The sequence below is a fragment of the Homo sapiens genome, chromosome 2, assembly GCF_000001405.40.
Source record: "Homo sapiens chromosome 2, GRCh38.p14 Primary Assembly".
NCBI lineage: Eukaryota > Metazoa > Chordata > Mammalia > Primates > Hominidae > Homo > Homo sapiens.
Window position 1 is genome coordinate 97,692,988 of NC_000002.12, and position 16,234 is coordinate 97,709,221.

Below are 16,234 nucleotides of genomic sequence, written 5' to 3' on the forward strand. Positions count from 1 at the left end.
ATATCTGTCCAAAAGATACTTTTTGGGTATTTTTTTCTGTTTCTGTGAGTTGTGTTACTTTAGATATCTCATGTAAGTTGAATCATACAGTATTTGTCTTTTTGTGGTTGGTTTAGTTCATGTAGTATAATGTTCTCAAGGTTAATGCATGTTGTAGCATATGACAGAATTTCCTTTCTTTTTAAGGCTGAATAATATTCTATTGTATATATATACCATCTTTTCTTTATCCATTTATCTGTTGTTGGACACTTGGGTTGCTCTCACATCTTGGCTATTGTAAATAATGCTGCAATGAATATAGGTATGCAAATATCTCCAAGATCCTGTTTTCAATTCTTTAGGATATGTATCCAGAAGTGGGATTGTGGGGTCATATGGTAAATCTATCTTTAATTTTTTGAGGAACCTCCATATTGTTTCCATAGCAGCTACACTGTTTTACAATCCCACCAATATGTGCAAGAGTTCCCATTTCTTCACATCCTTGTTAACATTTGTTATTACATATTTAAAAAATCAAGAATGGGTGCTGAATTTTTGGAACTAATCATATGATTCTTTTCCTTAAGTCTATTAAGATTATATATATGATAATAATGAATTTCCTAATATCAAACCAACCTTACATTCCTAGAATAAATTCTACTTGGTCATAGTGAGGCTTGGAGAGTCCAGTCACTGCTCAGGAATCTTGGGCCTGGGCCCAGCTTTTTCTCTGCTTCAGCACATCTGTGCTGTCACTCAGAGTGGCAGGGGATTGGAAGGAGCCTTGGGGTTCCTTTAGCCACCAAGAAAGCAGCAGGTCTTTGTATAGATATGTAGACTGAGCCATGATTTATAACTTTTAATTATTGATACATATGATAGGTGTTTCTCCATTTGTATTCTTTTTCAATTTTTAAAAATTATTATACAATACACATAATATGAAGTTTACCATCTTAACCATTTTTAAGGGCACAGTTCAGTGGTATTAAATACATTCATAATGTTGTGCAACCATCACCAGCATTCATCTCCAGAACTCTTTTCATCTTATAAAACCAAAACTCTATACTCATTAAATAATAACCATCCATTCCTCCATCTCAGCATCCCCTGGCAACCACCGTTCTACTTTCTGTATGATTTTGACTATAAATATCTCACGTAAGTGCAATCATACAGTATTTTGTTACTGACATTTCATTTTGCATAATGTCCTCAAGGTTCATCCATGTTGTGGCATATTTCAAAATGTCCTTTCTTTCTTTCTTTCTTTTTTTTTTTTTTGAGACAGAGCCTCACTCTATCGCCCAGGCTGCAGTGGCGCGATCTTGGCTCACTGCAACCTCCTCCTCCTGGGTTCATGCCATTCTCCTGTCTCAGTCTCCCCAGTAGCTGGGACTACAGGGACTACAGGCACCCGCCACCACGCCCGGCTAATTTTTTTTTTTTTTTTTTGTATTTTTAATAGAGATGGGGTTTCACTGTGTTAGCCAGGATGGTCTCGATCTCCTGACCTCATGATCCGCCCGCCTCGGCCTCCCAAAGTGCTGGGATTACAGGCGTGAACCACCATGCCCGGCCCAGAATGTCCTTTCTTTTCGAAGCGGAGTAATATTCCATTGTATGTATCTACCATGTTTTGTTTACTTACTTATCCCTTGATGGATATTTGGGTTGTTTCCACATTTTAGCCTTGTGAATAATCCTGTTATGAACGTGGATGTACAAATAATTCTTTGAGACCCTGCTTTCAGGTATTTTGGGTATATACTCAGAAGTGAGATTGCTGGATGATATGATTTTGGTTTTAATTTTCTGAGGAAACGCCATGCTGTTTCCCATCATGGCGGTACCATTTGCATTCCTACCAACAGCACACAAGGGTTCCAGTTTCTCCACATCCTCGCCAATTCCCTAATGATTAGTGATGTTGAGCATCTTTTCAAGTACTATTGGCCATTTGTATATCTTCTTTGGAAAAATATCTATTCAAGTTCTTTGCCCATTTTTGAATCAGTTGTTTGTATTTTTGTATATTGTTGGGTGTCAGGAGTTCTCTCTATAGTCTGAGTATCATTCCCTTATCAGATAAACAATTTGCAAATGTTTTTTCCCATCCTGGGTGGGGTACCTTTTTATTCTGTTGACACTGTCTTTTGATGCGCAAAATTTTAAAATTTGCATACAGTCCAATTTGTCTGTTTTTTCTTTGGTGGCCTGTGCCTTTGGTATCAAACCCAAGAAATAATTTCCAAATCCAATGTCATGAAGTTTCTGCTCTATGTTTTTCTCTAAACGTTTTTATAGTTTTAGGTATTACATTTAGGTCTTTGGTCCATTGTGAGTTAATTTTTGTTTATGGTGTTGGATAAGGCTCTAACTTTATTCTTTCGCATATGATATCCTGTTTTCCTAGTACCATTTGTTAACCTATTAAAATTCTTGTGCTGGTTTTTTGCAAATGTTAGGTGTGGTCTGCCCAGGAATGTATATTACAGTGCCAAGATACCTCAGCCCCTGAATAATGTATCTTCACCCTTGAATAAAAAATGCCCCTGAATAATTTACCTTCACCCCTGAATAATCATTGTTTAAGTAAAATTAAATGATATGCTTGAGGAATAGAAAGCCTACTATCTAGCTTGATCTTTTGATTTCTAAAACTGTTTCTTCAGTCAATTGCTTTAACATAATTTTACTTTCAAATCTTTATTTTTCCTTCAGGAGAAGCCAGGACAACATTTTTTCTTTTATTTTCTTTCTTTTCTTTTCTTTTCTTTTCTTTTTCTTTGAGATGGAATCTCACTCTGTCATCCAGGCTGGAGTGCGGTGGCGCAATCTTGGCTCATTGCAACCTCCACCTCCCAAATTCAAGCAATTCTCCTGTCTCAGCCTCCTGAGTAGCTGGGACTACAGGCACGCACCACCATGCCCGGCAGTCTTGCCTAGCAAGACAGGTTTAGCAGGGTAGTTCTGGCTCAGAGTCCCCCATGAGGTTGCAGTCAAGATTCTTCCAGATTCATTCTCTCACTCAAGACCTAACTACTGATCTGTCCTACCCAGTGGGAAGCACTGTGCTGGAAGCTAGAGAGCTCAGTGAGGCATTCTTGTCCTCCAAGAGCTCACAGCTCTTAGGAGAGTCAATCTAATCGGTAAATAACTATTAGATATAAACATGCTAACATTGAAGGTCTTTAAAAAGTGCTTACGTTGTAATCGCACGGAGTTCTGGGAGAACAAGAGGCTGATCTCCTTGATAGGGTTTTTCCAAGTAGGAAGAGTGAGGGAAGAAGAGGGCTGAGAAGAACTGTAGGCAGTGACAAAGCTCACGTCTGCCAGCTGAGGGGGCTGATCAGATCCATCTTCAGAGGGTGGGAGCTGCTCTCAGGCTACTCTGCAGGGACAGTAAATTCCAGACCACACTGTCTGCACCTCCTCCTTGGCAGTAGTGACCATTCAAAAAAAAAAGAAAAAAAGGCTGGGTGTGGTGGCTCACGCCTGTAATCCCAGCACTTGGGAGGCCGAGGCAGGTGGATCACCTGAGGTCAGGAGTTCGAGATTAGCCTGGCCAACATGGTGAAACCTCATCTCTACTAAAAATACAAATATTAGCTGGGTGTGCTGGCGTATCCCTGTAATCCCAGCTACTTGGGAGGCTGAGGCAGGAAAATTGCTTGAACCCAGGAGGTGGAGGTTGCGGTGAGCCGAGATGGGGCCACTACACTCCAGCCTGGGGGACAGAGACTCCGTCTCAAAAACAAAAAACAAAAAACAAAAAAACCAATGGTCGAAAACATCTCGATAGGAGGAGGAGTGGGGAAATGACCATTCTGGGAAGTGAAGTGTCTTTTAAAAGGTGTGCCCAGGTCTGTGGACAGCAGCTGTAGCTACTGATGATCATAGGTCCACTGAATGGAACATAGCATCAGTCCTAGCAATAACATGCTATTAACATGTAATCAAAGGCTCACGTCAATGTTAGAGTCTCCAAAACATAGAGAATCATGAAGATGAAAGACTTCAACTTTTTCTTGAGCACAAAGTCAGAGTTTCTTGGTTCTGCACTCCTTTAAGAAGGTTTTTACCAAGCCCAGCACATGCTTGATTGGCAGCTTGGGTTGAGCCTACACCATGGAAGGACGGGAGAATTGCTCTTGTAATGGGTGGCTGCTCCTGTCATAGTTAGTAGTTCTAAAGTTGGAAAGAAATCTGGAAATGAAACTGTGTTGGTCAAAAATTTGATAATTGTGCTTATTTTTTCCCACAAAAAAATAATCCAAGAAATGATCAAACACAAACCATCAAACATAAAAGACGCCTTCAGATTCTTCAAAGAACCTTAGGTAAATGAAAACTTACGTCCATACTGACGATAAGAATAGGCAGTGGCTCTTGCCTCTGGTAGAGAAAGAGAGTGAAAATGTGTTCCCGTGTCAGGTCTACCATTGCTGCAGCTCTGTGGAAGACCAAGCCAAGCGCGCCCCCTGGTGGATAACTCCATGCTCGCCAGGGCTTTCTGTCTGTGGCTATTAATCTGAGTCGGATTTGACATGTTGCATTTCAAAAGTCAAGTTAATTATCAGTCTTATTAAATTGGGAGTTTTCTCTCTTTTCTAAGCCAAGTTGAATAAGGAACAAATTTCTCTCTTTTTTCCAGGAATACCTAGAACTTCATGAGACTGTTATCAGACACCCACATGATGGTCTTAATCATATTGTGATAATTTTCTGTTATTTTATTTTATTGTTTAATTTTATTATTCTTTTGAGACAGGGTCTCGCTCTGTTACCTGGGCTGGAGTGCAGAGGTGTGATTATAGCTCTCTGCAGCCTTGATCTCCTGAGTTCAAGCCATCTGCCTACCTCAGCCTTTCTAGTAGCTGGGACTATAGGTGTGCGCCACCATGCCTGGCTAATTTTTTTTTTTTTATTTTTAGTAGAGATGAAGTCTTGCTATGTTGCCCAGGCTGGTCGCAAACTCTTATTGTGACAGTTCTCTATCTCTCTGTGAACAAGGCCAAGGAAGATTTACCAAACCCATCCAAAGCTGCCCCGCCCCCACTTCCAGCTCTTGGAGGTCTCCCATCTGGAGCTGGGGGCTCCAGCCTGCTTTGAAGTCTTCCGGGGTGTGAGATTCATTACTTCTCATCCTTTCCCATTCCCTCTTTGATAGCTCACCTTCTAAATGCTAAACAGTCCAAACAGATTTCCCTGGAGCGCCTACCCATTGGTTCTAGTTTGTTCCCCAGAGCTTCTCAAAACATCTCTCAGCCTCTTCCCAGGCCATCCTGCATCTGGCAAAGATAGGCAGGCCATGCTGGCCTCCCGATTTTCTCCAAGCTAAACTCAGGCCCTTTGACAGGTCCCATATGCAAACGAGTCAGGCACCAAAGGGCAGAGCTAGGATGCAAATATTTCTCATTTTCGACTGTCTTCTTTCTATTAAACTATTCTGCAATCCCTCTACTGATACCTGAATATTTCAGTGTGGTTAATTTTCCTATCTTGTCCTCGCAACTCAAGAAAATTTTTATAGTACTTCGTGTTTTAAAAATTATTTTCATGAACATTGTACAATCTGTGAAGTAGGTCTCATTATCTCTATTTTATGCAAGTGGAGAAGTAGGCTGGGGCTTAGAGAGGTTCTCTAAGTGTGGTCCTCTACCCACAGAAGCAGCGTCTTTCAGGATCTGTGAGACATACGCATTCCCAGGCCTACCCCAGACCTATGGAATCAGAAACTCTGGGGTGGGGCTTAGGAATCTGTGTTTTCATAAGCCCTCCCAGTGTGATTCAGATGCACGCTCGAGTGTAAGAAATGCTGCCTCAGCTATGGGTGGGTTGCCCAGGAATTTGTTAGATTTTTTAAAAAGTAAACAAAAACAATAAAACACCAAAACACTGAGGTTCTGTAGGACATTTAGACTTTTCCCCCAAGTCCTCCCTAACTCCTCACTTTGAGTCTAGAAGAAGCTACTTTTATCATAAACGCTGAACTAATCACATGCCATGGTTGTTTGTAGATGAACACATTTTATCTTTTGTAGATCACCTTTCAGAGGAGAAGAATTTTAAAGAATCCTGTCTGTTCGACAGGGATTTAAGAGAGCAGTTAACTACTATAGATAAAGAAACACTTCAAGGAGCAGCTAAACCAGGTGGGAATCTATATGGCCTATAAACTAAGTATGATGCTTAAATACGGACAACTTCTGAATGTGTCTTTTGCCTTTCATGGTATTTTAACTGACATCTTTAATTCACCCGCTAAAGTGAATTAAATCTGCAGTGAATACAACCTGCAGTTAAAATTTATGAATTAAACCAACTCCAGAGGCCGGGCACGGTGGCTCACGCCTGTAATCCCAGCACTTTAGGAGGTCAAGGTGGGCGGATCACCTGAGGCCAGGAGTTAGAGACTACCCTGGCCAACATGGTAAAACCCCGTCTCTACTAAAAATACAAAAGAAAAAATTAGCTGGGCATGGTGGCGGGTGCCTGTAATCGCAGCTACTCGGGAGGCTGAGGCAGTTCAAGAATCACTTGAACCCAGTAGGGGGAGGCTGCAGTGAGCTGAGATTGCACCATTGCACTCCAGCCTGGGCAACAAGAGCGAGACTCAATCTAAAAAAATAAATAAATAAATAAAAACCCAACTCCGGGAATTTCACCACTCTTCCAAAAAGATGCTACTTTTATATTGTTTCTATACAGCCAGGGCTTCACCCTCGCTCATCCCTGAGCCCAGACCTGTTTAGAGTGGGCAGAAGCTCACCCATGCTGGTACCAAGTGCAGTACACCCCTCCACACTGCCACTCCCTGTCAAAATTATACCTGGTTGTCACTTCCTAATGCTTAGAAATTAAATGCTGAATTATTCTAGCAGAGCCTTAGAGCTGCTGGATACGCTGCCTCTTGGCATAGCATAGCTGAAGGTAGGAGGCTGGACATGCCCTGTTTTCTCCCCATCACCCAAGAAGACCCTTGCTCAGCACTCTGCTGTCTACATAACCGGCTGCCCTGGGCAGCTCTCCACACGAAACCAGCCGATACCTGGGATCATACCTCCATGCCTGATTTCCCTGATGTCTTTTTCTTTTTTGGTCACATTATAAATGGGGTGACAGAAGCTCTAGGAGACACTAATGTCGGCTGAGATCTCCTTCCTTTGAGATCTAGCTAAGACTGCCGCGTTTTCCCCAGCCTGTGCTCAGTGGTATTCCGTCCACTCTCACAATTTCTGTAAGTCCTCAGAGGGGCTCAGGAGCTCAGGATCATCTGTGGCCTTGTGTTTGCCTCGTGCTGGTGCAGACATGAAATCTCCCAAACCTACACACACGAGGCAGATTGTGTATGCAGTACAACTTTCTGAGGCCAGGGGGCAGAGGAGGGGAAGCAGAGAAGAGGTTATATCACTGCCCTGTGAAAAGCTGCAGAGTGTTCGCCTCCATTGTTCTTAAAATCCTTTGCAGTAGGATTTCTCAACCTCCTCTAGTGCCCCTGCTTCCTCCTACCCATCTGAGCTCTCCTCTGTTCTTCTCTTTACCTCCTACAAATTGTCTGTGGAACTTTCTTTCTGGCTGCTTTGTTGCATGCCAGCCCGTATCCTCAGTGTCTCATCTCCACCCCCCAAAATCATCCCATCTTATCGCCAAATAGCAGATGAATGCATATGAATGCATTTCCCCAAACAGCCAGTTCCTTCCCAAGAGGACTTCTGGAACCAGTGGCTAAGATGCCAAGGTTTTTTGTTTTTTTTTTTGAGATGGAGTCTCACTCTTTTGCCCAGGCTGGAGTGCAGTGGTGCGATCTCAGCTCACGCTCACGGCAACCTCCGCCTCCCGGGTTCACGCCATTCTCCTGCCTCAGCCTCCCAAGTAGCTGGGACTACAGGCGCCCGCCACCACGCCCGGCTAATTTTTTTTGTATTTTTAGTAGAGACGGGGTTTCACCGTCTTAGCCAGGATGGTCTCGATCTCCTGACCTCGTGATCCGCCCGCCTCAGCCTCCCAAAGTGCTGGGATTACAGGCGTGAGCCACCGCGCCCGGCCGAGATGCCAAGGTTTCTATTCTGTTATGAATGGAATGAACAGGTGTCCCTTGCAGGCTTAGTCCTGGTTGTGGGTAGCCCGGTGGGTATCTCTGTTCACTCTGCGCTGTGTCTTCTCATTTAGATGCTCACTTTAGGACTATGCCCTGCGGGCAGCTTCTGCACTTCCTGCAGAGGAACACCATCATCGCCGCCGTCTCAGGGGTGGCCATCCTCATGGCCATCGTGCTGTTGCTGCTTGGGTTGGCCTCATACATCAGGAAGAAACAGCCATCGTGCGTGGTGCTGGCATAACCTTCCTTCCAAGAACCCGCGGGTGTTAGAACTCACGCTGCCCTCAGGGCTTCCTGCTGATCTGGTTTACGAGGAGGGCAGAAGCTGCAAGCCTGGTTGTGCTTCAGCATCCCCTGGCCTGCTCTGTCAAAGCACACAGGACCTGGGCCATGGGTTTTCGGCACAGCCTGGGTGATTCTGATGCACAGCCGGGTTTGGGGATCCCTGGGTGGGCCAGGGTTGCCTCTCAAGGCCACTACGGTTAGGCCAGACCTGTCCCCATATTGAGGGCTCTGGCTGAAAGATTGGTAAATAGGAATATGGATTTACAAAAGAAAGGAAAAATACAAATCTAAGAGGGTGAGGAGGGCTGAAGCCACGAAGGAGAGTGAGAGCAGGGCTGATATTCAGCTCCTTCACATTGGCACAGCTGTCCTGCTTGTTAGAATACTGAAAGCCTTCCCCGAGCTTCCCACTGACCTCCTGATCTTCTCCGTGATCCTGCAAATGAAGGATTAGTGCCTGGCACAGCCGTGGCCCTCCAAGGCTCTGCTTCAGTGGTGGTCATTTTGACTGGTCAGTGCCTGTCTACACCCCCGTCTACACCAGTTGTTAAATATTTTGGTTAGGCCTCTAGATGAGGGGGCTCAGGCACAGAGGCACTCACCATGAGCAGGCGCTAGGAAGCAAATGGTTTGCACGATGACGTGTATGCATAGCTGCATTTTGAAATTACGTGCTTCTTGCTGCGTCCCCAGGGACATGTATTCCTGACCACAGAAGGAAGAGCAGCTCCCCACAGCCCTTCAGTCCTGCCTGACACTGCACTGAATGCTCAGCTTGCCCCTAGAGCAATGGGGTGGAGGTGTGTGTTGAGGGGAAGTGTCCATCCCCACCCCTACCCACCCTCTGACTCCAGAGGTAGCAGTGTTTGAATTTCCCCACAAGAGTGGCATTGCTTTCTCTCCATGCCAAGGCTCCTGGAACTGGTGACTTATTCAGGCCACCTCCCCCAACCCCCACCTCCAGCATCCTCTTCCTACCAAGGCTCATCCATTGGACCTGCCATTTTCCCTCCATGCCCCTTGAGATGCCAGCAGAAGTGGTCAGAACTGTGGCCCCTCCCATAGGGACCAGTCAAAGTTGTGGGTGGCCTGAGTTAGTTAAGAGAAACTGGGGGGAAGAGAGTATCCCAGAGGCTCTGTGCTGCCCAGAGGCAAAAAGAATTTCACAGATGACAAACCTTACTGATGGGAAGCAGAATCCTCACGCTGGGAAGCGTCAGCCTCCACCACTGCCCAGCGAGTAGACAGCAGGACTCCTGTGCGCTGAGCTGAGCACTGTGGTTTTTGTTATTTTGTTTTAGATCTCCTCTGGCAAACACGACATATAATATTTTTATAATGGATGGAAAGACATGGTGGCACAATTCTGAAGAAAAAAATTTCACAAAACTTGCAAAAAAACAGAAACAGTTGAAGAGCAGCTCCTGTGTCTAAGCCAGGTCGTGGGGCCGTCAAACCAGGACTTGAAACCACAATGCGAGGACATTCTCCATCTGCGCACCACAGGGAGGCAATTCCATTTCTGCCCGGGAGGTGTATTCTACAAAAACGTCTGCTTCCCATCCCAATTTGAATGGACCAAGAAAAACTGCTTTACCATAGGACACTTGTGGCAATATGGCACCGATGGCTGGCGTCGGTGAACCCGACAGACTATGGATTTATCATTTAATAAAGCATTGATTCATTTTTTCAGTCATTCATTGAACAGATATTAATAGACCACCTCACATGCTGACAATATCAAAATACAATGAGGAAACTAACAGTGACCCAGGCATGCATTCTTCCCCGAGCAAGATCACAGTCCATGGTGTGAGCACAACCATACTAAATAGCTTTTATGGGAGGTGGGAGTACAGAAAGTATTATATCTGCAAAGAAACTGCTAAGAATTGTGGGAGCGCCCCAGGAGGTGATTTCCTGCTTGCGTGACCAGCACAAAGAAATGGGGTAATTGAGAGTGTCATGAAGTGGGGTTATTTATTTATTGAGTCGGAGTCTTGCTCTGTCACCCATGCTGGAGTGCAGTGGCGTGATCTCAGCTCACTGCAACCTCCGCCTCCCGGGTTCAAGCGATTCTCCTGCCTCAGCCTCCCGAGTAGCTGGGATTATAGGTGCGTGCCACCACACCCAGCTAATTTTTGTATTTTTAGTAGAGATGGAGTTTCACCATGTTGGCCAGGCTGCTCTCAAACTCCTGACCTCAGGTGATCCCCCCGCCTTGGCCTCTCAAAGTGCTGGGATTATAGGCATGAGCCACCATGCCCGGCCCATAGAAGTTTTCAGTTCATTTATGCACAGTTTAAGCTGAGAATGTGAAAGGCTAAACTCATCCCTTTCTTTCCCCACTTTCTCCAGCAACCAGCCAATATCATACTCCTCAGTTTAATTAAAATGTTCTCAGATATCATCAAACACGTGGGCACCCAGAACCTTGCCTTTTATATGTGTTTGATTGAGAGTATCCAATGGTAATATTTTGTATATCTCTATTGCCACATCATGCCATGGAGTACCTAAATGCCCTCTTGGCCACTGGAAATAGATTTAAGATTCTGTTCCTCTCTTCTAGTACCAAAATTTGGATGAGTCAGGGTCCCATGAGAGAAACAGAACTAGTAGGAGGATATATAGAGTAGTAAGAGATTTTTTTAACTTTTAATTTTTGTGGGTACATAGTAGGGGTATGTATTTATGGGGTACACGAGATATTTTGATACAGGCATGCCATGCATAATAATCACGTGAGGGTGAATGGAGTATCCAAAACCTGGTGCATTTATCCTTCATGTTATAAACAATCCAATTATGTTCTTTTAGTTATTTTTAAGGTGCAATTAAATTACTATTGACTGTGGTCCCCCTACTGTGCTATCAAATACTAGGTCTTATTCATTCTTTTATTTTTTGTACCTATTAACCATCCTTACATCTCCCCCACCCCCACTACTCTTCCCAGCCTCTGGTAACCACCCTTCTACTCTCTATCTCCATGAATTCAATTGTTTTAATTCTTAGCTCTCAGAAATGATGAGCGCATGCAAAGTTTGTCTTTCTGTGCCTGGCTTATTTCACTCAACATAATGACTTCCAGTTCCATCTATGTTGGTGCAAATGACCATTTTTTGAATGGCTGAATAGTACTCCATTGTGTAAATGTACCACATTTCCTCATCCATTCATCTGTTGATAGACTGTTGTTAGGTTGTTTCCAGATCTTGGCTATTGTGAATAGTGCTGCAATAAACATGAGAGTGCAGATATCTCTTTTATACACTGATTTCCCTTCTTTTGAGTATATACACAGCAGTGGGATTGCTGGATTGTATGGTAGCTCTATTTTTAGTTTTTTGAGGAACCTCCAAACTGTTCTCCATAGTGGTTGTACTAACGTACATTCCATACATTAGCAATAATGTATGAGAGTTCCCTTTTCTCCACATCCTCGCCAGCACTTGTTATTGCCTATCTACTGGATATAAGGGACAATTCTTCTCTAGAGCCTCTGAGGGGCCTGCAGCCCTGCTAACACCTCGGTTTCAGACTCTGGCCTCCAGAATGTGACAGAATAAATTTTTGCTGTTTTAAGCCACTCGGTTTGTGGTTGTTATGGCAGCCCTGGGAAATGAATACATGGCCACACAATCTTTTTCTGATACTTTGAGTCTTGAGAGTACGTGAGATTGATTGGGCTGGGCCCAGGGCCACTGCAAGGCATGGGAGAGTGTGTTTAGGGAATCAAGGGATGTGGGTTATGGCCCTGGTGCTTGTGGTCAGCAGGTTTGCAGGTTCCTGGGGGCAACTGTTGCGTCTGAAGGGTTCCTGGCTACCTTCTCCATTCATGGATGGGCTCTGGGAGCTGGGCCTCAGGAAAGGCAGGGGAAGGGGTGGTCAGGAGTAGCTCAGAGGCGGTCCAGCTAGGACCTGAGAGCTTTGGACCTATTTGTGTGGGGAGTGAAGACGACGAGGTGGCCCTGGAAGGCTCTGCTCAGTTCTTTGCCAAGATGGAAAAACAGCCCATCCCTAGAAAAACTCTTTCCACCACATTAGGCCATTTAGTTAAAAATTGCCCAGTTAGTGGTCTTGGGACTTTGGTCCTGCTGTAGCCACAGAAGGCCTGATGTACTGGACAGAGCTGGCTCCCAGGCCCACCCCAGCCCACCTCCCAAATCAGGGGCTTGGAGAACCAAGAGTCGCAGTCCAGATGCTTGTCTCATTCTCAAGGATCCCCCGACTGCTTAGGACATTTGGACAGCAGCTCCTCTAATATAATAACGTCATTTTTTTTTTTTTTTTTTTTTTTTTTTGAGACGGAGTCTTGCTCTGTCACCCAGGCTGGAGTGCAGTGGCAGGATCTCGGCTCACTGCAAGCTCCACCTCCCAGGTTCACGCCATTCTCCTGCCTCAGCCTCCCGAGTAGCGGGGACTACAGGTGCCTGCCACCAAGCCCGGCTAATTTTTTGTATTTTTAGTAGAGACGGGGTTTCACCGTGTTAGCCAGGATGGTCTTGATCTCCTGACCTCGTGATCCACTCACCTCGGCCTCCCAAAGTGCTGGAATTACAGGTGTGAGCCACCCTGCCCGGCCTTTTTTTTTTTTTTTTTTTTTTTTTGAGACTAAGTCTCACTCTGTCGCCCAGGCTGGAGTGCAGTGGCGCGATCTCTGCTCACTGCAATCTCCGCCTCCCAGGTTCAAGCGATTTTCCTGCCTCAGCCTCCTGAGTAGCTGGGATTACAGGCGTCCACCACCATGCCCATTTTTTTCAATGTCATTTGGTTGTAATGGTGATGAGAAAAAAAAACCAAACCTGATTCCTGGCTGGGGCCACTGTCTGTGTGGAGCCTGCCCGTTCTCCCCATGTTTGCGGGGATTTTCTCCGGGAAGTCCGTTTCCTTCTACATCCCAAAGCTATCGGTGCATAGGCGTGTCTACAGTGTCCCAGCGTGAGCGAGCGTGGGTGTGTGTGAGTGTGTCCTGAGAGGGGATGGAGTCCTGGCTGGGGCTCGTTCCCACCTTGCGCTGTCCTGAGCTGCCGGGTTGGGCTCCGGCCCCTGCTACCCTGAACTGTGTAAGTGGAGAAATCATGATCTGACTTATTTTTTAGTAATCATTCTTAAAGGTATGTATAGCTCACAATTATTTTAATGTTTAATATTAACGCATTTGGGGTCCTTATGTAGATGGTTGGTGATGTTTTCGTGACCGGGAATATGCCATAGGAACTTACCTCTTGTCTATAGCAGTTAGCCTATGGGAAAATTGGTTTCCTTACTGCACGTCAAGTTGCAGTCTCCAAGAACCTCTCAGTGAGCTAAGTGAGGACTCACTGCACCCGCAATGCACTTCTGCCTTTCTGGCCCTTGGGAGGCTCAGACCCCTTCCTGTCTATCCCAGCAGCCGCTTCCCTCTGCGCAGAGGAGAGGAGGCATCAGTTAGGCGCTTCCCGAGGAGGGTTACCAAAATCCCCAGATGTGCCTGCAGGGCCCCCTCCTGACCTTCCCGGCCTGGTGCTCAGGGTGTGGGGGTGTGGAGGGGGAGCACTGGGGGGCTGGGGGGAGGGCAGCTGCGGGGTGACGGAATGGGGTGGCAGAGACGAAGGGGTAGAGTAAGATGAGGGAGATGAGGGCCGGGATAGGAGAAGGGAGGAGGGCAGGGACAATGGTGTGGGTGGGGAAGAATAAGGTGGAGAGAGTGGGGAGAATAAGCTGAGGGAGTGGAGTGGGGACAAGGAAGGTAGAGGAATGGGGGGAGGGAAGTGGAGAAGCGGGAACTATGTGGTGGGTGGGAGATTTGAATGGAGGAGGGGGTAGGAGGAGGTGTTAGAAGGAGGAGGGTGAGGGGAGGGAGTACTGAAGTACTGATGGGCCAGGAATGAGCCCCAAGAGGTTGGTTCAGCCCACTTGTTCCAAGAGGGTGGGGAAGAAGAACTGGGTGGGGAATGGGTGGCTGCGTGGAGAGCTGGGGGAGGGGAGAGCCCATTCCTTCCCCAGCATCAGCAGCATCAACAACGGGTGTAACTTACCAACTGGTTTCTGCTCAAGTCAGCACTTACTGGGCACCTCCCCATGCCAGGCACAGTGCCCTGGTGGGCAGGTACACCCCACCATGTGGCCCTCCCAGAGCTCTCCACTGGGGGTTGACCTTGGAGCCTGCCCTGGTATCTGTGCTCCAGCCCCTTCGCTATGAGATGAGCACCACCTTTTCCATTTCTCAGATTGAAGCCAGCGGGGAGGTGGGGAGAGTGGGGCCCTGGTCACCCCGGAGGACCTGCCAGCTGTCCAAAGGTCTCTGAGTGCTTCGCCAGGGCAGGTGCCCCAGGAGAGGAATGCCAGCAACTGGGGTGTGGCCTGTGCCACCTGACATTCGCCTGCCCGGCCCTCACAACGCTGGGAGTTTCCCAGGCATGGTGCTGGGGAGCTGGGTCCAGCTGGGCTTCAATACTTGTCCTGCCTGGACCTTCTCAGAGCTTTGGCTTCCTCTTCTTGGCAATGAGGCTGATAATTTACCCTCTTTACAGAGCCATTGGGTGGTCCGTTCAGCAGCAAACATTTATTGGACACCTGCCGGGTGCCAGGCCCTGTGCTGGGCTGGATGTGGGGTGGCTGTAGGGCAGCAGGTGGCTGGGGTCCTCTGCGCTTGGAAGGAGATGCAGCTGCCCCAGCCTGGGCATACAGCAGGCACAGCAAGCATACCAGATTTTCCTTGAATTCTCAACAGGTTGCACATGCACCCTTGTCCCATCCTCATGGCAACTTCTTGGGACCCCAGCCCTGAGAGGCAGCCCACCCCTCTGCTGGCCTCCTACCTCTACCCTGGGCTTGCATTTGAGGAACAAGCCCTATCAGCGCCTATAGCCTCTGCCAACAGTCCCCGCATGGCCTGTGGGCCCCTGGGAGCTGCCCTGAACTAGCATTTCCATTTCCCTTTCTTCATCAAAGAGGTGGCTGCCTTTGCGCTGTCAGTTTGCCTTCACGCTAAGGCCTTGCAGCTTTAGCTCAGGGTTGGTTCAGCCTGCTTGTCCCTAGCTGGATGACGGCAGTCACCCTGATAGCACAGGGGATTTCAGGGTGGAGCCCTGTGGAAGCTCCAAGCTCCCTTTGAGCCAGGAGGTCCCAGGCTCCCCACTTGCTAGCTGTGGAATTTCAAGCCTAAGTTTCCTCTTGGTCTCAGTTTCTAGATCTGTAAAATGAGGCTAATCTACTACTCGCTGGGGCTGTTGTGAGCGTTAAATGTACCTTAGCTGGGGCCAGCACGCAGTCGTGCTTGATAGAAAGAAATAGATGCATTTAAGCTGTTATGAATATTCTGCAAGACTTCAGCGCTTTGCCCACCCAGCATCCCTTCTCCTCCTTCCAGCCACTCCTTCCTTCCAGAGTGTGCTGTGGGTGGGGCATGTGACCTGGTCCTAAGCCACGTCCCCATGCCATCCGCTGGCGTCAGGGATTGGCTGGGGGATGGACAGGTGATCTACTCAGCCAATGAGCTGTGCTGGGGGTTTTTCCGGTAATATCGAGAAATAGATTCTTGCTCCTTGAATAGGATTTGAAGCTGAGTGACTTTCTTGGACCATAGGGAGAAACCTTGTCTGAGAATGAAGCCAACAACCTTGGGGTCATCAGTTGAGCCCAGAGCAAGCTGTTCCTGAAGCGCATATGTGGGATTTTTTCACCCATCCATGCAATATTTATTGAGTACTATTGTGCTAGGTACCACTCCAGTTGCTGGGGTCGCAGCTGGGAACAAGATAGTTCCTACCTCACAGATGACACAGTCCTGCTTAAGACCTTTGCTGGGAATGCTCTTCCCCCAATATCTCCGTATCTCCGTGGCTCTCTCCTACATCTCCTTCA

At 46.9% G+C, this 16,234-nt stretch overlaps 1 protein-coding gene across 9 annotated transcripts in view, besides 2 other annotated features; it reads left to right on the forward strand.

Moving 5' to 3' along the window:
* The window catches only part of C2orf92 (chromosome 2 open reading frame 92), a 39,126-nt gene extending 29,047 nt beyond the window's left edge, over positions 1-10,079 (forward strand). For 6 of the 9 annotated variants that reach the window (NR_038386.2, XM_024453105.2, XM_024453109.2 and 3 more), the window contains 3 exons: positions 6,039-6,149; positions 8,167-8,317; positions 9,682-10,079. Coding sequence is in view for 8 of the 9 variants with exons in the window: in XM_024453105.2 (XP_024308873.1) it covers positions 6,039-6,149; positions 8,167-8,317; positions 9,682-9,814 (395 nt within the window). In the remaining variant the exon portion in view is untranslated. Of the gene's footprint in view, positions 1-6,014; positions 6,150-8,166; positions 8,318-9,681 lie in introns of all 9 variants that reach the window. The other 3 variants (XM_024453106.2, XM_024453110.2, XM_024453111.2) reach the window with 1 other exon arrangement.
* Positions 14,190-14,750: an enhancer, noted in NCBI's record as "H3K4me1 hESC enhancer chr2:98323640-98324200 (GRCh37/hg19 assembly coordinates)". NCBI's record gives its function as "activates a minimal SCP1, AML or CMV promoter by ChIP-STARR-seq in naive H9 embryonic stem cells {active_cell/tissue: H9 hESC(naive)}" and the evidence as "EXISTENCE:reporter gene assay evidence [ECO:0000049][PMID:30033119]".
* Positions 14,751-15,309: an enhancer, noted in NCBI's record as "H3K4me1 hESC enhancer chr2:98324201-98324759 (GRCh37/hg19 assembly coordinates)". NCBI's record gives its function as "activates a minimal SCP1, AML or CMV promoter by ChIP-STARR-seq in primed H9 embryonic stem cells {active_cell/tissue: H9 hESC(primed)}" and the evidence as "EXISTENCE:reporter gene assay evidence [ECO:0000049][PMID:30033119]".